The 27,592-nt window shown below is 41.0% G+C and overlaps 1 long non-coding RNA gene across 1 annotated transcript, besides 2 other annotated features; it reads right to left on the bottom strand.

Annotated features, from left to right (window-relative positions):
- On the bottom strand, window positions 1-27,592 carry LOC105379040 (uncharacterized). The gene is made up of 2 exons (XR_948485.3): window positions 27,369-27,592; window positions 1-157 (listed from the first exon to the last, which is right to left on the bottom strand). It is a non-coding gene; the product is annotated as an uncharacterized LOC105379040 (long non-coding RNA).
- Window positions 1,645-2,146: an enhancer, noted in NCBI's record as "NANOG hESC enhancer chr5:74269438-74269939 (GRCh37/hg19 assembly coordinates)". NCBI's record gives its function as "activates a minimal SCP1, AML or CMV promoter by ChIP-STARR-seq in naive H9 embryonic stem cells {active_cell/tissue: H9 hESC(naive)}" and the evidence as "EXISTENCE:reporter gene assay evidence [ECO:0000049][PMID:30033119]".
- Window positions 21,101-21,395: a silencer, noted in NCBI's record as "tiled region #2499; K562 Repressive non-DNase unmatched - State 21:Repr". NCBI's record gives its function as "represses a minimal TATA promoter and a strong SV40 promoter by Sharpr-MPRA in K562 cells {active_cell/tissue: K562}" and the evidence as "EXISTENCE:reporter gene assay evidence [ECO:0000049][PMID:27701403]".

The following is a 27,592-nucleotide window of genomic DNA, read 5'->3' as shown; positions in this document are numbered from 1 at the left end:
TTTAACACAATAAAAGTTTATTTTCATCTCAGGCAATGTCTTTTGCGGGTCAAGGCAACTCTCTAGGGCAGTTGTCCTCTGTGTGGTACCCGAGTTATCCAGGCTGCTTCAATCTTTTGGGTCTTCCATCTCAGCATACAATCTTCTCCATGGTTGCCTAAGTTGGGGAAGAAAGAGTTGGGCGAATCACACTGTCTCACCTGGAAATGATGTGTATCATTACACTGGCCATGATAACTAGTTACATGGCCCTATCCAACTGCAAAGAAACTGAGAAGTACAGTCTTCCATATGCCTAGGATAGGAGAAGGAACAGATATTGGTAAATATAGTGATATTGAACATACTACTTTAATTCACAAGTCTTGTCTTAAAGAAGAATTCTGTACCAAGTTCTCCCTGAGTTCAGAATGTCTTTCCAGAAGGGGTTCGGGGCAATCTTGTGGCTAAAAGAGGTGTGAAAGGGACTTATTTTTAAGCTGCATTTACATATCAAGAAATAAGTCTTTATTTAGATTGAATGTTTATTTCAGGCAGCTTTAGGGGATGCTAATGAAGGCTATGTAGAAGTGAGCAAAATCCTCCAATCCCACCTCCCTCCCCTTCCCTACCTTGGCACTTACAGTGTCAGAGTTTCTTTATAAGTGCTGTAAGTGTGATACAGTGAGCAATTGCACATTTGGTACCAGCCAAAACCCCAAATGGGCAGGCCACCAATGGGCTACTGGTGGCAGGGAGGCCTGGGAAGCAGTGGCAGGCTCCCTACAACGTGGTACCTCAGTCTGTGCTGATATCTTGTTCCAATCTGTTTCCTGTAAACATCAGCAGCTTTCACACCTTGCATCACAGTAACGTGTCTTCTCAGAAAAAGCAAGCAGAAAAGCAAAATCAGTAAGATTATTGCTGCAACTCTTGGACTACAAATGTGTCTCCTATTATGATTAAGACTGTGCATTTGTGTCTGAAAGAACAAGAAAGTGAAGAGTAAATATGCATGCAGTTTTATCAGTGGGAACGTGTCTGCTAAGCATTTACCTCAAATGAGCTGAGAGGAGGGCAGACAGGAAGACATGCAGTCAAATGATTCACATCCCTTTGACACTAGAAGTTTCTGATCAGTCTAGGGAATCAGAAATCATACTCTATAAGGGACAGAGATTGTGAGAGTTTTATCATCTAAAACAGTCACATTGACCCTTCAGGTGGCATTGACAGTCATTTTCCAATCTGCCAAATATGGTAACCCGATGCAGGCATTGTGCTTTGTGTCATCTCAAGGCTCAGTCTGTGTTGCACACCAAACTGTAGTATTTTATGAGTCTGTCTAATGGAAACTAACAGCAAGTACATTTGTCTTTAGTGGTCCCAATGGCAGTCCCCAGATGTGCAGAGCGTTCCTCCCGCTCTCTGCTAACTCGGGACACCTCTGGTTATGATGCCCAATCTTGAGAATTCCTCTCTAAATCATCCTGTCTTTGTTTTATTCCCTTAGCTGATTATTCTGAAAACTATTGTGGTTAGTAGATAATAATTAATAAGTTTTCTGTCTTATCAATTAATTATTCAAATCAATTTATTATAATTCTTCAAATGTGTCAATCCAGCCATTTATCTATGTTTTCCCCTCTATTCAACAAATATTTTTTGAACAAAATGCTGTATGTAAAATATGCTGTTGGTGACATGGAGGATTTAGGGGGAAAGGGAGTGGTCAAATAGAGCTAGTAAAGGTACCTAAGCTTCTGGGCAGGACACCAACAGCAACCACTCCAGGAGGCGACATTTAAGCAGAGATTGGAATGACAAGAAAAAGCTGGTCACACCAAATACAGAGGAAGAGTGAGCTTGGCAAGTCTAGGGCCTAGAAGAAGGTCAATAGGCCTGCACTGTAGGGGGTGAAGCTCTAGAGAGAGTGGTATCAGAGACCAATCACACAGAACTTTGTCAGCCCAGAAAGGCTTTCAAAAGACATTGGTGGTTTTAAATCGGGGCACATGATTGAATTCTGGATTTTTCTGATGTGAGCCCATCTCTGGCCTGAAGTTGCCTTCCATTTATAGTGTGATACTAGTGTAAACAAAAATTATGGGAGGCCATTTTTTAGGCTGAGCTCTAGCACTAGGCCGCAACAGACCAGTCCAAACCAAAATGAAGTCACTCATGCTAAATGCCACGTAATCAAACTGAAACTTTAAGGAAACAGATACGTCCCCACAGCCCTATATTTGCTGAAAACAGGAGAGATTCCAGTCTACCTGAGTTGGCATAATAATGAAGTCCCCTCTGTTTAACCCTTATCAAAAAAGTAACCTGAAATTGACCAATCACCTTTTTTTCTTGTTCTGTTTTCTTGTCCCCACCTTGCAAAACCCACCATTCTGCCATTGCCCAGAGTGGGGGTGGCGGTGGGAATGGGGGACTCTGATTCTATTTTAGAATGAAAGCCACCCCATTCATGAATTACAAACAAAAGCCAAATTCAATCTATAACTAAATTTGTTGGAATTTTGTCTGACACCAGTTTTTCCATTTAAGATCATAATATAAAGTGTCCTTTTAAAGTAAATACATTTAAGGAAACAGAGCAAGGCCTTATAAAAATATTAAGTAAATAATACAGAGATAGCTGAACCGTAAAGGTGGAAACACTGCCCTCAGGCAGAGCAAAATGAAAGAATCTTTTGGGGTCCCAAACTGCTTAGGAAATCAGATGCCCAGTGTTTTGCAAGGATTTGAGAAGCCAACAAGCTATAGAAGAAGGCAGATGGTTTTCTGAAAGACCCAAGGTGTCTACATAAAGTTAACAGAATATTCCTTATGCCCTGGGTCACCTGACTGATGGCCAGGAAGCATCAAGGGTTCCTGTATCTTCCACACACACCATTTAGAATGCTGGTTATTGTCTCTTTGTAACTCTGCATTTTAATTTACCTTTTAAGTTGCTCTTGATAAATATTTTAAACAGATTTCCCCAGAACAAAATATTAGGGGATAGGGAGAAGGGGATGCACAGTGTAATTTATTCTCAGCCTTATACGCTGTTAAGAATGGCCTCAAGATTACAGAAGCATAACTCTGACAATTGAATATCCACTGACACACAGAATTAAAATGCCAACAATTACATTTGTTTAAATGCCAAGTTTTCCTTAAGATTTATTTAAAAATCTACATTTCTGAAAATATCTGCACTTCTGAAATCAGATTCAGTCTCAGAACATATGTTAAAGAAGAAAAAAAACCTTACCAGGATATACAGAAACCTGATTTTTTAAAATGTGCCTTGAAGTTATGATATAAATGTAAAAGAAGTAAGACTCTCAATCTCATTGTTAAAATGAGTCATAGCATTTGGTATTTCTATCATGCATGTGATAGAAAAGTGCTAATAATGCTTTTCTGACTTGACACCAATCATACAGGTATACAGGTAAGGATACAGATGTCAATACATTAGTACCAAGGTAGCGAATTATGAAGACAACTGTCTCAGTCTGTTCCTGCTGCTATAACAAATACCTTAAACTGGGTAACTTATAAATTATAGAAATTTATTTCTCACAGTTCTAGGGGCTGGGAAGTCCAAGATCAAGACACCAGCAGATTCAGTGTCTAGTGAGGGCTGCTCTGTGCTTCATGGGTGCCACCCTGCTGCTGTGTCTTCATATGGCAGAAGGAGCAAAAAGGGTCAAACTCCCTCCAGCCCTTTCATAAGGACACTAATGTCATTCATGAGGGGAGAGCCCCCATGACGTAATTACCTGCCAAAGGCCGCACACTTAGTACCATCATTTTGTGGTTAGGTTTCAATATATGAATTTTCAAGGGACACAGACATTCAAACCATAACAACAGCCAATCAGACTTGCAGGTTTCTAAAGAGTCTTTAGACTCTTGCAGGATTCCTTATTCAAATCATGCCTTCAAGATCCCATTACAATTCAAATCATGCCTTCAAGGTCTCATTACAATTATACACCTTCATACAAGTCTTCATGTTGCACAGGACAACAAGAATAAATGTTCTTGCAAGGTTTTACATTCTAATTCCTTATCAATACTGATTCTGTTAACTGATCTGTGACATAAATGATCCTCTCCCACTGAAGCTTCAGGGGAAAGAGACACCTTCATCTTTTTATGAGCCTCTTTTTGTTCATTATGATATCTTGCATTTTTAAAGCCATGTGCCAGAATTTCATCAGTCAGCTTTCAAAACAAGAGTCAGGCCTGTAGAGCCCAATTTTATTTTCTCCAAAAGATTTTATTGTCTCTAAAAATAGGGACAGGGATAAAAAGAATTTTACTGGAATACAATTAAATAGAAGTGTAGCAGTACGAGCCGCAGACAAAACTCCTCAGACACCAAGTTAAAGAAGGAAGGGGTTTATTTGGCCGGAGGCATCAGCCAGACTCCTGTCTCAAGAGCAGAGCTCCCCGAGTGAGCAACTCCTGTCCCTTTTAAGGGCTCACAACTCTAAGGGGGTGCGCGTGAGAGGGTTATGATCGATTGAGCAAGCAGGGGGTTCGTGATGGGGGGCTGCATGCACTGGTAATTAGATCGGAAAAAAACAGGATAGGGATTTTCACAGTGCTTTTCTACACAATGTCTGTAATCTATAGATAACATAACCAATTAGGTCAGGGGTTGATCTTTAACTACCAGGCCCAGGGTGTGGCGCCGGGCTGTCTGCTTGTGGATTTCATTTCTACCTTTTAGTTTTTACTTTTTCTTTCTTTGGAGGCAGAAATTGGGCATAAGACAATATAAGGGGTGGTCTCCTCCCTTAGAAGTATATTAACCATTCATAGTACTGGTAGCACAGGTGCAAAAGACCCCAGAAGCACAAGAACTGGTTAAGCGAATCAGGGAGCCGGTGTGCTGTGGAACAAAAAGTGATTCAAAGGAATCTTTAGACTGAATATGAATAGATTTAAACTCAAACCTTGTTTACAGTACAAAATAAAAAATTTGAATTTGTGTGTTTGTGTGCATATACTATTGACATTTACTAAGACAAAAAGGTTCATTTAATATAGTTTTCTTTTTTCTCAAAAAGTTGTTATGAAACCAATAATGTATCTTCAATTGAGAGAATCTCAGAACTAAAGGAATGTGGCACTTCTGTTGTCAAGGAACTATGTGTTAACATGCTGGTCCTGGCTCTGAAAATGTGTTGCCAGCTCTCAAGTTAGACAAGGGAAAATAAATCAATATGGCCTGATGAAATGGCAGAACATAGAAATAGTTACCATAAACACTAAGTCAACTCATTGACTTTATTAGAATTGTCTCAGGGCAAGGCATTGACTTTCTGTTAATTTTTTATTAAAAGAATATTCTTCAAGTAAAATAGTGCACTGTAGAATCTTTGAGTCTAAAAGGGCTGAGGACGCTTCTCTTTCTAATTCAGGTGTCCTGTCTATATAAAGCTCCTGAGGATTATGATAAAGTCTACACAGACATTAGTTGTTTATAAGTTTCTTAATAGAATATGTAGGGCAGGTTGCATTTCAGTTCAGAAAAAATAACTAAGGTCCAAGCCTCTAGATCGGTTTTGATTAGGTTGGCTGAATCACAAAGATCTAAAATAAAAGCAGTTTAAAGAAGGCAAATATTTATTCCCATATTGTTCTGGCAGTTTGATTCCATGAAGCCCTCAAAGACTCAAATTCCTTCCAACCCAGAGTTTCACCATCTTCTAGGTATAGTCCTTTTCCTTATGGCAAAAAAAAAAAAAAAAAAAAATGGTAGTTAGAGCTCCAGCTGTCATATCTGCATTCCAGGTGGCATAAGACAGGCAAAGAAGAAATGAGCAAAGTGCACATTGTAGTAGCTGTTGCTTAAAGAGCATTCCCAGAAGCTGCCAAAAGATATTTCAAGATATATATATTGACCGGGATTTAGTCACGTGGTTATGCCGAGTTGCAAGGGACCAAGCAATACTTTTATTCTGGGGGACTAGAGTCCAGCTAAAAATTGGAACTCTGTTAACATGGAAGAAGAGAAGGATGGATAGTGAAGGAAAAACCGCATTCTCTGCAAACTTCTTAGCTAGCTCTGTTAAAACTGGTGGTGGTTTGATAATTTTAAAAGTCAGTTAAAGCAGGGAATCACAAAAAAAAAATTAATGATATTTACCTTAAATATTCCTTTTAACTTCTAACATATCAGAGTACGTTCATTCATCACTTTCTTTGCGTATGAGGCTGCTATTTGGAGCCTTGCATTCTCTAAGCAGACATCAATTTAGCTTCCTTAAAGAGAAGCAGGAACTTAGAGAATCTTAAACACTCTAAGGAGTATTTAAAGTGTTTCTACAATCCCCCAAATCTATAGTTGATTCTTCTACACCTAATTCTATGGGATCTTAATTATTTTGATATGAGGTCTTTTTATTGTTGTTGAATTTTTGTCTTTTTTAAACAACTAACTTAGCTTCCATAAAAACAGCTCCCTTTCACACTCACATTTTTCCCAATTAAGTGATATTTCTAAGGTGGATGTTAAAATGGAACATTTCCATTATCTCAATTTTTTTTTTTTTTGAGACAGATTCTCACTTTGTCATCCAGGCTGGAGTGCAGTGACGTGATCTTGGCTCACTGCAACCACCACCTCCCGGGTTTAAGCAATTCTCCTGCCTCAGCCTCCCAAGTAGTTGGGATTACAGGTCCCCACCACCACGCCCAGCTAATTTTTGTATTTTTAGTAGAGATGGGGTTTCACCATGTTGGCCAGGTTTGTCTCGAACTCTTGACCTCAGGTGATCCACCCACCTTGGCCTCCCAAAGTGCTGGGATTACAGGCGTGAGTCATGGCGCCCCGCCTCCATTATCTCAATTCTGACTGATGCCCACAAACTAAGCACAAAGTTTATTAAGCACCCACACATTCTGAAGAGAGGACCCAGATTATCCTTATAGAACTTGCTAAGGAATATGACCAAAAATTTCCAACATTATTTAGCTTGCCACCAACTCCCAGGCCACATAAGAGATTAGGGAAGAGCAGTGAAAAAGACTGATAAAAGGAATTTCTTTGAAGTTGGGGTCAGGGAGATCTTTACATGAATTGCCAGAAGAGCATAATGTGTATCCTTAGAGTTGAAGGTCACCAGGACTAGAAGCTGGATTGTACCTAGAAAGGTTTAAAGGTAAGAAGCTTCCTCTGGCTGCAGAGGAGGAGAGAGTAGTACAGTAAGAACACCATTGTACTTCCAGCAATGTTGGGCAAGGATGTGTATTTCCCACGGGCCAGTGTGGACACTGAAGACAGCTGGGCTTGATCATTTAGAAAGGGCTCTGTTCAAGAGATCTGCCTGCCAGGGCAATGTACTCATCAAAAGTTAAGAGCTCAGGGGATGGCCAGACGTCGTGGCTCATACCTGTAATCCCAGCACTTTGGGAGGCCAAGGCCGGTGGATCATATGAGGTCAGGAGTTCGAGACCAGCCTGACCAACATTTTGAAACCTCGTCTCTACTAAAAATACAAAATTAGCGGGGCATGGTGGCACATGCCTATAATCCCAGCAACTTGGGAGGCTGAGGCAGAAGAATCTCTTGAACTTGGGAGGTGGAGGTTGCGGTGAGCTGAGATCACACCGTTGTACTCCAGCCTGGGCGACAAGAGTGAGACTCCATCTCAAAAGAAAAAAAAAAAAAAAAAAAGCACTGAGGGGAGAGGAGAATTATAACAGCCAAACGGAGGGGGCATTTCCTGCATGGAGGAATGGTGAAGGGGAAGATCCATGTAGTGTTAGTGATGGTGGGTGGATTCTGAAGGACCCACAAAAGTGCCCCACGAGAGAAAGAGCAAACTTCAGGGCATGTGCCACTCAGGGGCACTGGTGTCACATTACAAAGTCACTGGTCACATATGTTCCTTTTCTCTTTTGCTGCCCACTTTCATCCCTGAATATCTGGACACAGCAGTGTCTGGGGGAGGAGGCATTAGGAGTAGGATGAAGGGATAACAAAGAGCCAACCAGGCCCCCAGTGAGATTCTGAGCCTGAGTCGGGCCCAACCTGGAGGAGAAGGTGAAGCTTTGATATGAAACTGGATGGCACCTTTTAACAACTAAAAGTGGGGCCATTTATTAAGATCTGAAATTGAATGGAAATGCTATGGGATCTGCTGGAGAGATCACCCAATGGCAGGATGGAAAATCCAATGCAGCACATCTGAGAAAGAATAAAGTTGATTTTTTTAAAAAGTTTGCATACCTCCAACTTCTTTCTCAATACATTAGGTACATATTTAATGAAATTACATAATGTTAAGACTTGGTACAATAGGCACAAACAGGTTTGGAAACAGACATAACTGACTCCTGGTAAGTATACCATTAAAGAAGTGGGAAAAGAACAGCTCACGTGTTGTAGAGAGAGGCAAGGACATTCATCAACCTGGTTAACAGAGAGAAGAGATAGCATCTAGTGAGTACCTTAAATAGAGGCCTGTGAATATTACCATTTCCTTCTTTGAACACCTATCTTTATAAGAGTAAAACCCACTTAGGGGTGATACATGAAAAAAAAATCCAACATATAAATGAATACAATGAAATATACTTTAAAAAGCACTTAAGAGATCATTTCAAGTATTGGAGTTGGGTAATAACTGAATAGCTCTCATTTATCCTCTTCTTTTGTATAGTCGAAATTCCCCCTGTAACCAAACACAGGTCCAGCTGATCACTGCTTACAGAGTTCAATTAATAAGATTGAGGTCTGCTAGAAATTGCCTTTATTACAGAGCTTAGCTGAGGGGAAGAGTTACAGGCTCCTCCTGCCTTAAGGGTATGCTTCCACTTTCAGGCCAGAAAGCAGAGGCTTTAAAGGAGAACCTGGCATGGATGGCACAGAGGGGAGGAGACAAGGAAGTGACTTGTTGGATGTCTTATCTAACAGGTAGTCTGGCTGGCGCCATCGCAGGCAGAGCTAGGTAGCAGACTGACCACAGTCCCCTGGAAATCTGGTTGGGGAGAGTCCCCTTGGAACAGAATTTATATTGTAAATTAGCTGTTGCCTCGAGGCTATCTTCTGGTGGGGAAGAATCCTGAAGGGTACCTGGTTCGGTTCAACATTCGGTTCTTAGAATTTCTAAGCAAACATATAGTTAGATAAGCTGGCAGTGCAGGGAGTGCCTGGTGGAGAGAAGGTAAAGGTTATAGTTGCATTCCTAAAGAGTTAAGTAAAAGGTGAACACACAGGGAAAAAGAGAAAAGGTAAAAGATAATTTTTAGGAAAATGGGGTACTTGGTTACACCCATAATAAGATTTTTTTTTTAAAGAAGTTATCTATTGCAATCATTATCAACTCCTCTCGGGTTACTAACTCCTTTAAGAATTTGATGTCAGCTCTGGGCCCTCTCCATAGAAAATTCTAGATAGGCCTACTCATGAAAATCTTGCATATGGTTTCAGGGAATTCATGAAATTCTTGAAGGTCATCCAGAGATCCCACAAGAATCCCTGTTTTCTAGTCCATCCACTTTAGTTCCTAATGAGGAAACTAAGTTCCTGGAGGTGAGATGATTTGCCTAAGGTAATGGGAGGAGTCAGTGGCCCCAGAGCTGCTGTCTGCCTCTGTCATCCACATTTATATTATCCTCTTAAATCAGAGAGGAGGGGACATCCCAGAATGCAGCACAGTGCCATCAGGGAGGAACCTCTACAGGGACAATCAAGTGTTTTATCCGTCTAAACTTCTGGATTTTCTGATTTCTTTAAATGAAGCCTTCATTCACCTAGTCACCCAAGTGTGAAGCCCCATTTTCCCCTTCTTGTTCCTCACCCTCCATATCCAGTCACCAAATCCTATGACTCCCACTCTGTGTGGCCTCTCACCTCTGGCCCCTCCTTGCCTTTCCTCCCCGTCCTCACAGCTCTGCCTGCACTGTGGCAACTACCTTCTAATTAGCCTCCTTCTCCCATGTCTCAGGCTTAGCCCATCCATATAGACCTACCACATTAATCTCTCAAACCATGCCTCTTACCCATGCTTCTGTCCTCAAAAACCTCACGATCCATTTCCCAAATGAGGCCACTGAGGCCCAGAGCAATGACATATCTAAGCCAAGCCTACACAGCTAGGAAATAGAACCCCCCCTGGAACCCTGGAAATTCAGGCCTCTCATTTTAAATTCAATGCCCTCAAAGGGTAGACTCTAGATAGGCAGCATCAGAACCAACAGGGCAGTTTAGCAAAAATGCAATTTCCCAGGCCCCTTGCCAGATAATTGGAATCTCCAGAGAATCTGTATTTTCAGCAAGCTCTGAGGGTAATTCTAAGAATCAAGTTTGGGGACTACTTCTTGATTCATTGATTATCTAATACTGCACATATTAGTAAGATTTGGTTTAGACATTCTTGCTACTTTGGTTTACTTGTGTACATCATTTCTCAAAATAAGTAGTCTGCTTTGTGGCTGTAAACCCTGAAAACCAAAGTGGCTGGTGTTTCTCTGGAAGGTTGGTAGCATGGACTAGGCTGCATGACAATATTTATTCTTCATCCAATTATACTTAGCAAGAAAATAAAGCTATAACTGATGTTTCAGCATTATCTCTGCAGAGTTGCTGAATCCACAACTGAATCATAAGATTTGTCCCTTACTATAATTCTCCCCATGAATCAGTGCAAACATCCCTGAATCTCTTTCTGCTGAGGTTTTTATATGCTAGAGTCATCTTCCCTTTTCTCCAATTTCAGACCCTTCAAACAAAGGGCAAGCTTGCAGCATCCTCCACAGACATCCAGAGACCATGAATTTCAGATCTAAAAAGTTCAGGGTTTCAGAGGAAGCTCAAGCATTCGGAAAAGCTAAGATAAGAAAAATGCACAACTGAAGAGAGTGGGTGTAAGTTAAAAGGATGAATGTACACAGGTGGTCTGAGTTTTCTAGTTGAGAACAAATGTCCCCAGAGATGTTTGGTACATTGTAGGTTCTCCAGGCAGGCTGGTTGATCCCAGCTGAACTGAACAACCTGTTTCTTCAGATAAACTCTAGATCTCCTAGCCACGGTGAAGATCCAGTGAAGATCCCAGCAACTTCCTTACTATATGCCAGACCTTTTGTCCTCAGTCGTGGAAGACAAGGCTCTTGGTAAAATAAGAGGCAGAGGTCTGGAGGAGCCCAGCCTGCCAACAAACAGTTCAGTTAAAATCAGTTCAACAATCAAATACAAATGGCATGAGAAAATTTTTGGGGATGATGGAAATGTTCTATATCTTGATGTGGTTATACACTATACCCATTTGTCAAAATGCATTGAACTGTGCACCTAAAGGGAATGAATTTTTTGTGCATATAAGTTATGCCTCAGTAGAACTGACTTAATATATATACTTAAAACAATTTGACTGAATGCTTATAAGATTAACAAAATACTTAGAAGATATATAGACTTAAGAGTAAAGCAAAACATAAAGAGCACATTTTCATTTAAACTATATGTAGTACCTTCAACATATTTTTATTGATTCATGTAAGTGTCAGAAAAACATGCTAATCCAGAAATTCCTGATTATTATACTATTTTGTGTTCTTTCTTGTTTAGTGTCTGTCTTGCTCAGTAAATTTTCAGTTCTGTTAGGACGGGGACCATGTTTATGTTTTCACTAAAATACCTCCTGCCACTCGCTACATTTACACACTACTTAAAACACAGGGTTCAGTACATATTGGATGGAACCTAATGAAACTGAAGCTTTGGTGGATAAGAATTAAGTATGAGCCATTTCATACAGTCCAGTCTAATATTTGTGTAATAAATAAATAAACTTTCTCAGATAAAATGTAGAGGGGCACAAATAACAAATGTCTGGATGTGATTCTATAAGGTGAATTTGTAAAGGGATAGAAACACATTCCCCTCCGTATACTTGTGTTTTGGTCCACTGCCAGTATTATAAATCCTGCCTTTGCACATTTCTAACTTGTTTCACAAAGAATTTTCATAGACTGGAAGAGACCTGGAAGAATTCCTTTCTTATCGTCACACCAATGTCTCATATTACTGGAGTTCTAGAAGTTTATCCCAACACAGATTTCATCTCTAATAACAATATAAGTTCATTTTCTATCCTGAAAATTGGAAAGCTGGCCGGCATTCTACACTTTCTATTAAATTTAGAAGGAAGTATTTAACATCTGTCATGAGTCAGGATTGTGGTAGGGACTATCAGGTATGTGAAGATGAATAAGGCATAATATCTGCTCTCCAGGAGTTCACTGTCTAGTAGGAGAGGTAATATTTGACACAGATTTATCTTTCCAGGCAGAAAGAGGAAGAAGGTGATAAGTTCCTCAAATAAGGCGTAAAGTATTATGGGATATCCTTATGGGAGAAGATAATTAGACTCTTACATCACAGACAATAGGAAATCCATACACAGTGAAGATTGTGTGTGCGCGCATGCTTTGGGAGAAAACGGTAAAGGATGCCTTTATAATTTATAGTCCAAGCAGACCTTTCTTCCCAAAGAAGGCACTACAAAATCCAAAAACAATAAGTAGAAAAAATTAACACAAAAAATGAAAACTTCTTTATAATGAAAGTCATCATCACAAAGTAAAAAGAAAGGTGACAACTTTTTGACCAGCAATTTCACTTCTCAGGAATCTATTCTACAAATACACTACACTGCAGAGATACAAAATGAAATAAGCAAAAACTGATTTGTTTTGTTTGTAATGATAAAATAATTGTAAACACCCAAGTGCCCAGCATAGAGTATGGTACATCCACCAACAGAGTACCACGCAGCTGAAAACAGAATGAAGAAGATCCCTATGGACTGATATGGAGCAGTTACCTGGATATCAGTAGTTTATATTAAGTCAATATTAAGTGAAAAAAATAATATCAGAACATTTATTTCTCTTTTGTGAAAGAATTTTTTTTGTTTGTAGATTTTGTATTCTTAATCTGTAAACATTTAAATATGAAAAGTACCTGATAAGGTAGAAATCACCTGAAATCTTGCCCACTCCGAGATAAACACCTTTATACATCAATTGTATATACATATATGAAAAAATAGATATAAATACAAGAAAGTGATGATGATATGAGTACCAAAACCAGAAAATTTCTATTGGACATGGTAAGTGTAACTCCACTTATTGGATAGGTGAATATACAGGGTATTACAGGAGTGAATAATTGGGTTGAGGGTGGGTCAAGAAGCACTTTCTTAGAGGAGTTCCTGAAACATTCTAGATCTTTTGCCTGTCCCTCTTTTTTGGTTAGATTTGCAGGGTTTCTTAAAATTTTTTCATTTTTGTGGGTACATAGTAGGTGTATATATTTATGTGGTACATGAGATATTTTAATACAGCCATACAATGCATAATAATCACATCAGGGTAAATGGGGTCTCCATCTCCTCAAGCATTTATCCTTTCTTTGTGTTATAAACAATCCAATTATACTCTTTTATCTATTTTTAAATTTATAATAAATTATTGTTGTTTGTGGTCACCCTGTGATGCTATCAAATACTAGATTTTATTTATTCTATCTAATTATATATTTGTCCCCTTTAACCATCCCCAGTCCCCACCATCCCACTATTCTTCCCAGCCTCTGGTAAACATCATTCTACTCTCTATCTTCATGTGCTCAATTATTTTAAATTTTAGCACCTACAAATAAGTGAGAACATGCGGTGTTTGTCTTTCTGTGCCTAGCTAATTTCACTTAACATAATGACCTCCAGTTCCATCCATGCTGTTGCAAATGACAGAATCTCATTCTTTTTTATGGCAGTACTCCATTGTGTATGTGTACCACATTTTCTTTATCCATTCGTCTCTTGATGGACACTTAGGTTTCTTCCAGATTTTTTATCATGTGCTACATTTTATGTTTTAAAAATAAAGGAGAGAAACACTATACAGGCATTTTTGCTTATATCTACACAATGAAGCACAGGAAAATGATTCCATGTAAGGGATTGGGAGGGACAGGTGGAGGGACAGAGGTGGAAATGCAACTCCTCTGTGTTTACCTTTCTGTGTAGGTTTGATTTTTGAATCTTATAAAATGTATTATCCACCCTTACATTTTAATAAAATAAAAAGATAAACAACACTCTAGAGAAACTACATAGAGGATTAATAGCCATATAAATAAAAAGCCTACACAAATCAATAAGAAATTTCCATCTAATAGAAAGATGGCAAAGGACACAGATAATTTATAGAAGAAAAACAAATGTGCAATAAACATAATGATCTCATTCTCAGCAAGAACCAAAGAAATTCTAATTGAAACAATAAGATATTTTTATGTAACTGATTATCTTAAATTTAAAAGATAATATCAGTGAAGAGTAAGAGGGTGAGGAAACAGGAACCTTCCTATAAAATGGTTGGTCTGAATATAAACCGGTAGCACCTTACAGGAATATTTGAAAAATTCCAAATCTAGGAATTTATGCCGAATACTCACTTACAATGAATACCAAGAAAATATGCTGCAATGATGTTAATTGCTGTAGTGGCTGTAATAGCAGAAAAATAGGAACAACTTAAATGTCCATTATATTATGATATAGACATACAATGAAACACTAGGCAGTCATTATAAGAATCAAGTCACAGGCTGAGCGTGGTGGCTGGCCTGTAATCCCAGCACTTTGGGAAGCCGAGGCGGGCAGATCACCTGAGGTCAGGAGTTCAAGACCAGCCTGACCAATATGGAGAAACCCCATCTCTACTAAAAATACAAAATTAGCCTGGCATGGTGGCACATGCCTGTAATCCCAGCTACTCGGGAGGCGGAGGCAGGAGAATTGCTTGAACCCAGGAGGCAGAGTTTGCAGGTGAGCTGAGATCGTGCCATTGCACTCCAGCCTGGGCAACAAGAGCGAAACTCCATCTCAAAAAAAAAAAACACACGAAAAATCAAGTCGCTCTATATGTATTGATTTAGGAGTATATTTAAGATGTATTAACAAGCGTATAAAGCAAATTGCAGTAAATTATGATCATATTTTTGTAAACCAAAGGATTAAAAATTTTATTATGGGCCAGGTATGGTAGCTCACACCTATAATTCCAGCACTTTGAGAGGCTGAAGCAGGAGGATCGCTTGATCATGTAGTCCCAGCTGTAGTCCCAGCTACTTGGGAAGCTGAGGTGGGAGGATCACTTGAACCCAGGAGCTCAAGGCTGCAGTAAGCCGATTATACCACTGCACTCAAGCTGAGTGACAGAGTAAGACCCTGTCTCAAAAACAACAACAAAATGTTATTATGTATATGTGTGTGTGTGTGTGTGTGTGTGTGTGTGTGTGTATGGAATCTACATATATGGCAAAATCGAGAATAATATGCACCAAACACTAATAATGGTTATTTCTAGGATGTGCAGCCTATATTTTTTTATCATTTGAATTTTTTTAACAGCAAGCTTGTGTTCCTTTTAACACCTAAAAAGAAGTGGATTTTTTTTTCTTATTTTTTATTTATTTGTTGTTTTGAGATAGAGTCTTGCTCTGTCGCCAAGACTGGAGTGCAGTGGTGCAATCTCAGCTCACTGCAACTTCCACCTCCCGGGTTTTTGCCTCAGCCTCCCAAGTAGCTGGGACTACAGGCATGCACCACCATGGCTGGGTAATTTTTGTATTTTTAGTAAAGACAGGGTTTCACCATGCTGGCCAAACTGGTCTTGAACTGCTGACCTCGGGTGATCCACCTGCCTCTGCCTCTCAAAGTGCTGGGATAACAGGCGTGAGCCACCACACCCTGCTATAAAGAAGTTTTTAAAACTCCAATCGGAAAGATAGAATTGACTTCATGGAGAAGCTGCATTTCATGCCATCAAAAACTCTCTGAGCTGAAGGAAACCTTAAAAGTCAACTAATTTGGTGGTTTCCAAATGCTAGTCTGTATTCTAATTGCATCAGAAGCACTGGAGAAACTTGTTTTAAAGTACAGATTCCTGATCCCCATTTTCCAGAGATTCTGATGCAGAATTTCTGGAGTGAGGCCTAGAAACCTATAATTTTAAAGCAATTTCCAGGTGATTCTGATACTAAGCCAGGCATAAGAACCACTTAATTCAACCTCCCACCCAATACAGTAACCCTCCTCTGGCTGATAGATGTTCAATACACCCATGAGAACCTTCTAGAGAGAGGCCAGGTGGGGGCGTGGCTCACACCTGTAATCCCAGCACTCTGGGAGGTTGAGGACATAGGATTTCTTGAGGCCAGGAGTTTGAGACCAGTCTGGGCAACATAGAAAGACCCCATCTCTACAAAACATTTTAAGAAGTAGCTGGGCATGGTGGCATGCACCTGTAGTCCCAGCTACTCTGGAGGCTGAGGCAGGAAGACTGCTTGGGCCCAGGATGTAGTGAGCTATGATCAAGCCAATGCTCCAGCCTGGGTAACAGAGGGAGACCCTATCTCTGAAATAACCGACCAACCAAAGAACATTCTGGAGCGAAGACTCCAAGTTTTATTGATCAGATATAGGTGGGAATCCCTTTCCCCTGCAAGATCTAGATAAGATTGGTTCAAATCCTAACAATTTCATAGCATGTTAAAGTTCTGCTCAAGTCACCCAGACTAAATATATTTTTCCCAAAAGCTTTCCCCACAGATACTTCCCAGGCTTAAGCCCTCACCTCATCCAGTTTCCCGCCTAAACATCATTTCAGAAAGACCTTCCCTGACCAACCTGCCACTCAATTGCTTTCCTCAGCTCTGTTTTTCCTCACAACACTACTGTGAGTTGACATGTTGTATACTTATTTGTGTTAGTGTATTGTCTGTCTCTACACCAGAATGTGCGCCCCACCCTGAGAGTAGGCACTTCATCTACTTTATTCACTGTCCTATCCCCAGTGGCTACAATGGCACCTAGCACAGAGGTCTGAGTACTCAAAAATATACATTGATAAATGAATGAATGAAGAATGAAGAGATGTTTCTGTTTTTCCAAACCCTTTCCATCCTCTCTGACCCTTCTCCTAGCTTCCCTCTCCCCTCTCTTACTTTTCTGTTCACTCTTCCCTCTCAGGAACACAACAAATTCCCCTCCTTGCCTCTTGATAGGAATTTCCCTGACCTCCTCTAATCTTATAAAGTCTGACAACATTCCTGCTCCAGCAATCTCTCCAACACAAATTAGAGTTATCAAGGCATTTTCCCCAATCACAAACCATGTTATCCATAACAAATTCTACGTCAGAGATTTTTAAGTGATGTTTATATTCATCCAAAATCCTACTCTCCATAATTTCCACTTGATGGCCTTAGTTTGGCCCTCAGGAGCAGAAGAGAATGTCTGCAGTCGATTCCACATGGCCACCTGGTTTCTGGTTCTATATCATATGGTTCTTTGTGTAACATGGTTTCCAGAACTTTTCTTCATTCCCCTGATGCTCTTTACCTGGAATCCCTACAGTTTTCAATGCCCTCCTTAGAATGCAGCACACCCACCTGAACACACTCCAGAGAACAGTGGTGTCATTACTTTCAAAGATGTGGCTATGATATTCCTATTAATGGAGTGGCTGACTTGGAGCAAAAACATGTCTCTTTTTCCTGACCTGAGTTCCGGGTGGTTGGGATTTTATCAACATGCATATATTTGTCAAAGATTAAACAATAGGTTCGATAAAGGTGACGAGATAATCTTATCTTTTCCCTCAGATGACCATAGTTCAAATTCTAAACTCAGTTCTCAACTATGCACCTATGGCCCTCTGGGAAATTCAGGCTTTATTTTCCAGATCCAGGAGCTACCTGTTCCTCTAAAGATTGTATTTTTAAAGGAAGCTAACACCCCCTCAAACAAAGGATCTCTGTATTATTAAACTTTCCAAATGAAGCCTCTGCTAAGTGCACACCCCAAATACGCTAGCAGTTGTTTTCAATGATTTCATAGGGTAAATATACTGTTCTCCTCCAAAAATAACTTGCTCCTTTCTAAGTCAGGCTCCCTTCTCCATTTTTTCCTTGAAGCAAGTTTGAGGTGCCCAACATTGTATTAACTTTGTTTAGGATCCACCGTAGTCAAGTAGTGGACATCTACGAAGGCTGTTTGAGCAAAAAACCTGTACTTATGCATCTTTCTGAAACATGGTCTTTGTAGTGGACACACACTGGGCTGGCTTCTGACTCAGCATCATCCTGGCTGTGCATTCAAGCCTGGCCAGGGCCAGGTGTCCAAGAGTAGAAGACATTGACCCAGATTGGGCTAATCAGAATTTGAATAGAATACACAGAAGATGGGCAGAGTTGAGGCATCTAATGCCAGTGACATGGAAGAGTCTAGGAGCTCCAACTGCTGCCTGGGATCTTGCCCTTTCCTCATCCTACCCTTTCTAATATTTAGAATCCTCCCAGAAATCTGTTTTTTATTATGTTGGCTAAAGTTAAATGTTAATCAGTGTTTTAAACTGAGAGGAGTCTCCAGGGTGTTATCATAGAACTCTATCACTAGCCCAGTGTTCCTTGTCACCTTTGTTTGGAGCCTTAGATTAAACATTAATACTTATCATTGGCTGAAGCCTGAGCTCTGCATTTCTTTTCTTTTTTTTGATACGAACTCTCACTCTGTTACCCAGGCTGCAGTGCAGTGGCGCATTCTCTGCTCACTGCAACCTCTGCCTCCCAAGTTCAAGTGATTCCCCTGCCTCAGCCGCCCAAGTAGCTGGGTTTACAAGCATGTGTCAACACACCTGACTAATTTTTGTATTTTTAGTAGAGTAGGGGTTTTACCATGTTGGTCAGGCTGATCTCGAACGCCTGACCTCAAGTGATCCACCTGCCTCGGCCTCCCAAAGGGCTGGGATTAAAGGCGTGAGCCACCGGGCCCAGCCAGAGCTCTGCATTTCTAACAGGTCCCGGGTGCTATCTATGCTGCTGCTCTGCAGACTACATTTTGAATAGCAAGGCCTTAGAATACATAGAAGCTATGGTTATCAAATCTGCAGCTGCCCTCAAGTTTAAAAGAAAAGCTAACATGGAATTACTGAATCTGGGCATTTACATCCCAAATTAAGGTTAGATTAGAAATGGCAGGACTAATAATAGCTAACATTTATTGTAATAGATACTGGCCACTAGACTATGTTCTTCTGTATTCTCCAGGCATCATCCTAGCAAGCCCTGAGATGAGCGGTATTATTATCCCATTTTAGAAATGAGTCAAGTAAGGATGTGCCCAAGGCCATGGTTGGTAGGAAGTTTAGGCCAGGTGAAACACAAGCCATCAGATTCCAGAGCCCTTGATAACATCGCACAGCAGTGCCGTTCTGAGGTATTCAGGCCAAAGCCAAAGAACCGCATGCTTGAACATGTACAGCATGATATAGAGAGCCCTTCTGCCTCAGGCAGGAGGTTGGATCAGATGACCTCCAACCTCCCACCTAACCAAGAGCCTGGCCTTTCCAAGTGGAACACCTCCATTCCTCTTGTCTCCTCTCCCATCAGCTGATACTGAAATGGAGAAAATGATGTATATATCGTGTGTGTGTGTGTGTGTGTGTGTGTGTGTGTGTGTTGGTATGGAAAGCGAGAATTATAAGGGATACGCTTATGTGATTATGGAGGCTGACAAGTTCCAAGATCTGCAGTCAGCAAGCTGGAGACCCAGGAGACCTGATGGTATAGTTCCAGGCTGAAGGCCAGCAAGCTCAAGACCCAGGAAGAGCTCATGGTTCAAGTCCAAAGGCAAGGAAAAAAATGATGCCCCAGCTCAAAGGCAGTCAAGTAGGAAGAACTCCCTCTTAATGGGGAAGAGTCAGCCTTTTGTTCTATTTAGGCCTTCAGTGGATTAAATGATTCTCAATCACATTTGGGGGACAATCACATTTACACTATCTATTGATTTAAATGTTAAACACATTCAAAAACACCCTCACAGAAACACTCAGAATACTGTTTGACTAAATATCTGGGCATCCCATGGCTCAGTCAAGTTAACACATAAAATTCACCATCCCCCACACTTTCTCTTGAGGATCTCCCCAGCTGACATTTTCTCTTGCTTTCATGGGCTGAGATGGCCAATTTCACCTGGGGCTGGCCCCACTTGACACAGACTACAAATTGGGATTTCCCCCTACCTGTGCAAATGCAAATTCCAATCAGCTTTTTAATCAATAAATGGAATTCCCTCAGTGAAGGGTTATTCTGTTTTCTCTTCTTTAGAGTTAAATGGTTTATCTAGAAGCCTCTAGATAATATCTCCATCTTCAAAATATAAGCATTTATGACTGAAAAAAAAAGTGTCAGTCTTTTGAAAATTATGTTGATGAGTTCAACTCTCCATCATTGTAAGGTGCATGGTGTAAAGGGACTGTGCATGCTCACATCCGAATCACTCAGTTGGGGTCACTAGAAATATTGAAACAAAAGCGTAAATAAGCAATAGATAAATAAGCAAGTAATCTCTCTCACATCCACATGCAAACCTCTCTTAAATAGCACTGGAGATGGCATCTGAAACTGAAGAGAAAATTATATCCAGTGAGGCAGAGAAGCGATTTTATAGTAACTCTTTCTTGTTAGCAAAGTTTAGTGAATAATATTTAAGTAACGAGCAAGAAGTGAGTCACCATAATCATTATTTTTTCTATGCTTGTGGAATGCCATCGGGCAGCTTTGTTCCAGAAAACTATGCATAAACACATTTCTCAAGCAAATAATTTACAGTGAGATAAGGCAGAAAAGGCAGAGATAGCAGGGTACAATCTGTGGAATTCTGTTAATTCAGTACACTGAAATTATTCATTTTTTTTTCTTTTTCTTTTTTGGAAACAGGGTCTAGCTCTGTCACCCAGGCTGGAGTGCAGTGGTGTGATCTTGGCTTACTGCAGCCCCAACCTCCTCAGCTCAAGTGATCCTCCTGCCTCAACCTCCCCAAGCAGCTGGGACTACAGGCACGTGCCACACCTGGCTAATTTTTTACAATTTTTTTGTAGAAATGGGGGTCTTGCTCTGTTGCTCAGGCTAATCTTGAACTCCTTGGCTCAAGCTATCTGCCAGCCTTGGCCTCTCAAAGTGCTGGAATTACAGACATGAACGATTGCACCCAGCCAAATTACTCTTAATATTATTAGCTGACTTATTTGCAAAGAAGTATGAGTGATCTTTGTCCCAAATACATTGTGTAATTACTATCTCTCTCTTGTGATATTTGATCTTCCTGGAAATGCCATGATTCAACAGACCAAAGGAAGTCAACTTTCAGGACAGAGCAGGAAGCTGCCAGGGCCTGGTTCTCTCTGATCCCAAGCTGGCCATCACCACGACTAAAGTCACAGTTCAAGGATGCTGATGCTATGAAGATCTGCCTCCTTGATAACTCCATAGATGGCAGACAGACACAGAAGGTGGCTGCTGGGGCACTGTTTGGCCTTGAGCAACTGCTCAGGAATGCAGTCCAAAGTTGGTGGTTCAAAGGCTTCCCACTACCTTCACCATAAAGAATGAGTCCTAAGCATGGCTGGGCCTCCTCCAGCCCTTGTCTACTTTCATTCCCAGGATGTGCCATGCTCCTTTCCCGTCACAGGGCCTCCCCCCATGCTCTTCTTATCCCCCATTACACGTTCCCCTCTCCTGTTTCTATAGATGTCCCCTTTTCTGTCACAGACTCACAGACTTCCCTGACCTAATCAGGCGATTTCCCCTTTACATATTCTCACAGTATCTTGTTCCTGTGCCTCACAGCTCTTGTTGCAGCTGTAAGTTTATGTGAGCGTAAATTCCACCCTCGTGTTGGTGTCTCATGGGAATCGTAGGCCCAGTAAGAGCAGTCCCATCTGGTTTTGATGGCCACTGTGTCCTTGGTGAGGATGTGGCACATGGAATGTCCTCAATTACAAATATTTGTTGAATGAATGATTGCAAGAATAAATGATAGTGAGGGTGAGGGATGTTGTGCCTCAGGCTTTTTCCCAGAGCTAGGGAAGGGCGTGATCACCATGAGTTCCATACCCTTGTAGTTCTGTTTTTGGCTCAGTCCTACGCATGCATGCATATTAACATGGGACTGGTGAAAGGAAAGGAATGGTCCACATCACAGCTTAAAAGCTCAGCCCTCAGGTCAGACCCTCCTGGTGTGAAATGTTTCAAACAAGCTTGGGCAAGTTATTTTAACTCTGCCTCCTCAGTTTTCCATATGAAAATAGGGTTGGGGGCTGGGCGCGGTGGCTCACGCCTGTAATCCCAGCACTTTGGGAGGACAAGGCAGGCGGGTCACGAGGTTAGGAGATCGAGACCATCCTGGTTAACACAGTGAAACCCCGTCTCTACTAAAAATACAAAAAAATTAGCTGGGCGTGGTGGTGGGCACCTGTAGTCCCAGCTACTTGGGAGGCTGAGGCAGGAGAATGGCATGAACCCGGGAGGTGGAGCTTGCAGTTAGCCGAGATCGCGCCACTGCACTCCAGCCTGGGTGACAGAGCAAGACTCCGTCTCAAAAAAAAAAAAAAAAAAAAAAAAAAAATATTGGGTCAGGGATGGTACCTGACCCCACTTCCTCTTCAATTACATGAGATCGTGCAGGAACATATTTATATACAGTAAATGCTCAGTAAGTGTTAGCTGATATTATTAGAGGAAAGACTCCAAATCCTCAAAAACTCCCCACCACCTTGATCACGATAAATCAGGTAGGTACATGAAACTTAACCTTGAAGCAAGAAACATGTTAGAATATCTGAAAGCTTATCATACGAGTTTTTTAGTACCAGTAATTCTATGGGAGTTGGTGAAGAGTGAGATTTAAGAGTGATGCATTTTTAACAAGTAATCACATGAAGTGGACATTTGATCTTGGGTTAAAAAGCAGGGACAATATGTTTATGACAGCTCCCAGATAAACTTTCAAGGGAAAAATACGGCATAGCTAGGATACAGAAGCCTTTGGGAGAGATCCCTACTCAGTTCCTTCCACCGGCCATTTCCCTGGAGCTCTCAGGATGCCGGGATCCAGGCCACTTCACCTATCTTCTTTGCTAAGTGGTTCTTGCTGCCTATGAAGGTGCCCTCCCTGAGGAATGGTCAGTTCAGCTGAAGTCCAGTGCTGGGTTGTTGAAGCAATCCCTGAATTTTTATTTGATTTCCATTAGGGACAGTTTTAGCCTGAGGCCCCTGGCTGTGAAGTCACAGCCCTTTGGGAAGTCTCACCCGCCTTGGCTGATTAGTGGGCTGCTGAAGAATCACGTTTGTTCTGAGTCCCTGGATTGTTCCCATCCCCTTGAACCTGAATGATTTGGTTGCTTTTTTTTTTTTTTTTTTTTTTTTTTTACTTTGAGTTAACGAGAGGGGCTATGCTGAATACAGCCAATGACAGAAATAGAAGTCATTCATGTCATTCATTCTGGTGAACAGGCAGGATTCCAACCACTTTATTTGTGCAAGTATAAACAGGATTGATGTGATAGTCAAGATAGAATGAAAAAAAATAAGATTACTGATTATTGGGATAGGTCCAAAATGCTGGCTTGCCTTCAAATAGGCCCCCTCCTTAGTTCATGTTAAAATGCAAATTCCCAAGGAAGGAAAATACTTACTAATAGGAAATCACATTTAGTGAGCCATTCCCATTTGCCAGCCTTTATGCTGGGAGCTTTACATGAATGATCTCATGTAAATGTCACAACAGACCCAGGACTACTGTCATTTTACAGACAAGGAAACAGCTACAGAAGGCTTCCATCTGTGTGGTGAAGGTTACTCAGTGGTCAGAGGGGCAGCCAGGGTGGGAACCTGGGCAGCCAGGCTCCAAAGTTCATCCTCTTTACTACCACCCTGAACAATCTCCCAAGTGCTTCTATAAGATTCATTCATCCTCTAAAGCTTTATGCCAGATGTGCTGTGGATAAAACAAAACTTAAACACAAAGTATGCAGAGCCAGCTAACAAGTAGAGAGGTGAAGACCTATGCAGAATATTAATAACAAGCTTTTGAATAGAACTATGTTCTAGGCAGTGTTCTAAGCACTTTATGTATATTAATTCATTTAATCCTCAAAACAAAGTTTGTGGTGGATACTATTGTTAACAAATAAACTGAAGCACAGTGAAATTTTAAAGAGTTCATTTGAGCAAGCTACAGTTTGCAAGTCAGGCAGTTCCAAACCAGAGGTGGTTGGGGAGATCCACCAAGAGAACACAATGGGGAGGCTTTTAGAGGACAAGCACAGAAGTAAAGCAAAAAAGATATTTTATTGGTTACAGTTATGCAGTTGCTTTATTCGGTCTATCTTGTTGGAAAGTTTAGTTATATAAGTTCATTGGCTGCTTCTGATTGGTTGAGCTTACATTGTGTTTTTCTTTAATATAGGCACCTAAAGGAAATAGCTCAAGGTAGGTTTTGCTTATGTTTGCAATTCAAGCAAACTCAAGCTCCTAAAGGGATGAAAATGTTGAGCAGAGCAGAAATAAAGACAGTGAGGGTGCTCTGGTACAGATGTGGTCACTCAGCATACTCAGCACTTAGCAATCTTTTGGGTGTGCTTGTTCAGCCAATGGCAAATTCACCCAGCACTTTTTTCATCCTTTCTACAGTGCTTCATTTTAAATTCTTTCATTCAACAGATGATCACTGGGCACCTGCAGTGTGCCAAGCCCAGTAAAGCCCACTGGGATGGAATGATGGAATAAGTTGAGGTACTCATGAGGACCCATGAAGAAACAGAGGACAGGCATTCACACTAGACTAGGGAGGTCAAAAATGGCTGGCTCAGCAGTCTTGAAAGATGGGTGGAAAACTGCCAAGCAGACGAAAGGAAAGACATTTTAGGCAGGAGGATAACCAATCCAAGACCCAGAGTTGTGAAGGAGCATCATATCAAGAGAGCTACATGGGCTGGGTAAGGTGGCTCACACCTGCAATCCCAGCAGTTTGGGAGGCCCCAGTGGGAGGACTGTTTGAGTCAAGGAGTTTGAGACCAGCCTGGGCAACATAGTGAGACCCCTGCCTCTATGAAACATAAAATAAAAATAGAACTACATGGAGCTGAGTGTGGTTGGAGCATTGGTGAGAAGCATGATATATAGGAAGAGAGAAAGAGAATTATGGGTGAGAAGGTAGGGAAGGTAGGCACGGGCTAGATCATGAGGGTGCTTAAGTGATGAACTAAAGAAATTTACATTTTTCCAGCAGACCACAGAAAGCCACTGGAAAAGTTAAACCAGGATGGTGAAGTGGTCTGATTTGCACTTTAGAACTTTGGTGGCTGCAGTGCGAAGGATGATTGGAGGTACAGGTCCAGGTAGAGGCATTCCAAGGCTTTGTAGTGACCAAGGATGGGGATGTGAAGCCCTCAGGAGGGCCAAAGGAATTCAGAGAAAACCCTGTCTCATGTTTTGCTGAAATCAGTTTCTTCTGTGTCTGGCATTTCTGTTGTTCCAAGTATTTCCCCCTATTTAATTTTGTTCCTAAATGTATTACACTTAGATGCAATCTTAGCGTCACTAAAAGTGGCACAGCCGGGCATTAAATGTGTCAGAATATGACACAGGAGGAAGTATCTGGCACCACCCGTGAAAACTCTTGCCTGGATCACTCTCTTAGTCCAACCAGCGGCCACAGGAAATGTGGGGACTAGAGAAACAAGCAACCATAAGGAAGCAATTAGCCAAAATTGGAACATGGGACATTCCACAGGACAAATGATCAGCTTCTTCAAGAAATTGCTGGCATGAAAGAGAAAGAGAGGATAACCATTATGGAATAAAAAAAGATTTAAAGTAATAACACAGTGCCATGTTTGAACCCTCGTTCAAGGAAACAAACTGTAAAAGCCATCTTTCTCCATTGGGGAAACTTGAATATGGACTAGGTGTCAGATGATATTGAGGAATTATTAGGATTTTTGTTAAATGTTGATGATGATGTGGTAGTTATGTTTTTAAAATATATATTGGGCTATTTCAGGTGAAATGACATGGTCTCTGAGATAAATACAATGAAAGAAATTTTATTTAATTGAAATGAAAGAAGATTGGCAAAACATTGATAATTTTTGGAGCCACTAATGAGTACTTAAATTATACTATTAGTCCATATGTTTGAAATTTTCCATAATATAAAGTGTGTGTGTGTGTACGTATGTAGTTAACTCTGCTCATTTTTCCACTATAAAATTAACATAAGCACTTTAAGGAAAACAAAAATATATCTATTAAAGAGTTAATTACATTCCTACCACTCTTCTAATACAACTACAGTCAGTATCCAGTAAATTTCCTTTCTTTTTTTTCTGTGCACACAATTTTTTTTTACATAGTTGGTGATAATTTTATATTTCAAATTTTATTCTTATTTTTTCACATCTTTCATTTTACCAGCTGGGCTTCATAACTGTGGTATGCTGGCTCTTGGGAGCTGACTGTGAGCACTTCCTCCCGGCTCTGCATCCAATGCTGTCACGTTGGTGGCTTGTAATTAATCATGGTGGAAATATTTAAACCATGAAAATCAGTAAACATTACAAGTCAGAGCTTTTTTCCTAAAGAGCTGGTTGTTAAACATTTACCAGCACATGGCTATTTATAACCACGTTTGTTTTTTTTTCTCTTTTTTTGAGATGGAGTCTCGCTCTGTCACCCAGGCTGGAGTGCAGTGGCGTGATCTCGGCTCACTGCAACCTCCGCCTCCCGGGTTCAAGCAATTCTCCTGCCTCAGCCTCTTGAGTAGCTGGGACTGCAGGCACATGCCACCATGTCCAGCTAATTTTTTTGTATTTTTAGTAGAGATGGGGTTTCACCATTTTGGCCAGGCTGGTTTTGAACTCCTGACCTCAGGTGATCCACCCGCCTCGGCCTCCCAGAGTGCTAGGATTACAGGTGTGACCCACTGCACCCGGCCTAAAACTGTAATTTTTAAAAGTGACCTATTAGCCCATGGAGTGATATATTATAGTGAAGTTTAGTTCTTACTATACGCCAGGTACTGAGTACTTTACTCACATTAGCTCACTTAATCCTAACGATGGACCCTATGAGGTAAGTGCTATTATCATCTGCATTTTACAGATAAAGAAATGGAGACAGAAAGAAGTGAAGTAAATTCTCATAGCTAAATGGTAGCAAGCCTAATGGGACTGGAACTCAGGTAGTCTTACTGCGGAACCTTAGCCAACACTGTGCTGTGCTGCTTTGTACCCCTGCTCCAGCCAACGACTGGGCAGCCACCCTCAGAGGCCAACACCACTGCTCCATGTATCATCCAGCAAGCGCAGAGAACTGCAAGGCCAGCATCCATCATCCCCTTTCTGCAACCTGAGGGCATGACTTGAGCCCAGCCCCCAGTAGCAGTTTGGCTTAAGTAGAATTTACATTATCCTCCCGGAATGCTGCTGTTCAACATAGCAAATGCACCCACCTGTTCTGCCTGCTGCTTAGCAGTCATAGCCTTCATAGGGTCACTTTCAGAGTCGAGATGTGTTTGGGGAGGATGGCGGCACACTCCAAGCTGCAAGAACTATTATGACTTCAGAGGCCGGATGAGTTTTGTTTTTTATCAGGGGCAAGGACTTCATGGGTGACTTCTTCCTGCTTCCTCCTGTTTGCAGTGTTTTACGGTCCTGCCTGAGAGACAGGAGTACT

This window comes from Homo sapiens, chromosome 5, assembly GCF_000001405.40.
Source record: "Homo sapiens chromosome 5, GRCh38.p14 Primary Assembly".
In the NCBI taxonomy this organism is placed as follows: domain Eukaryota; kingdom Metazoa; phylum Chordata; class Mammalia; order Primates; family Hominidae; genus Homo; species Homo sapiens.
Note: the sequence above shows the minus strand (reverse complement) of the source record. Positions and strands in the feature narration are given on the sequence as shown.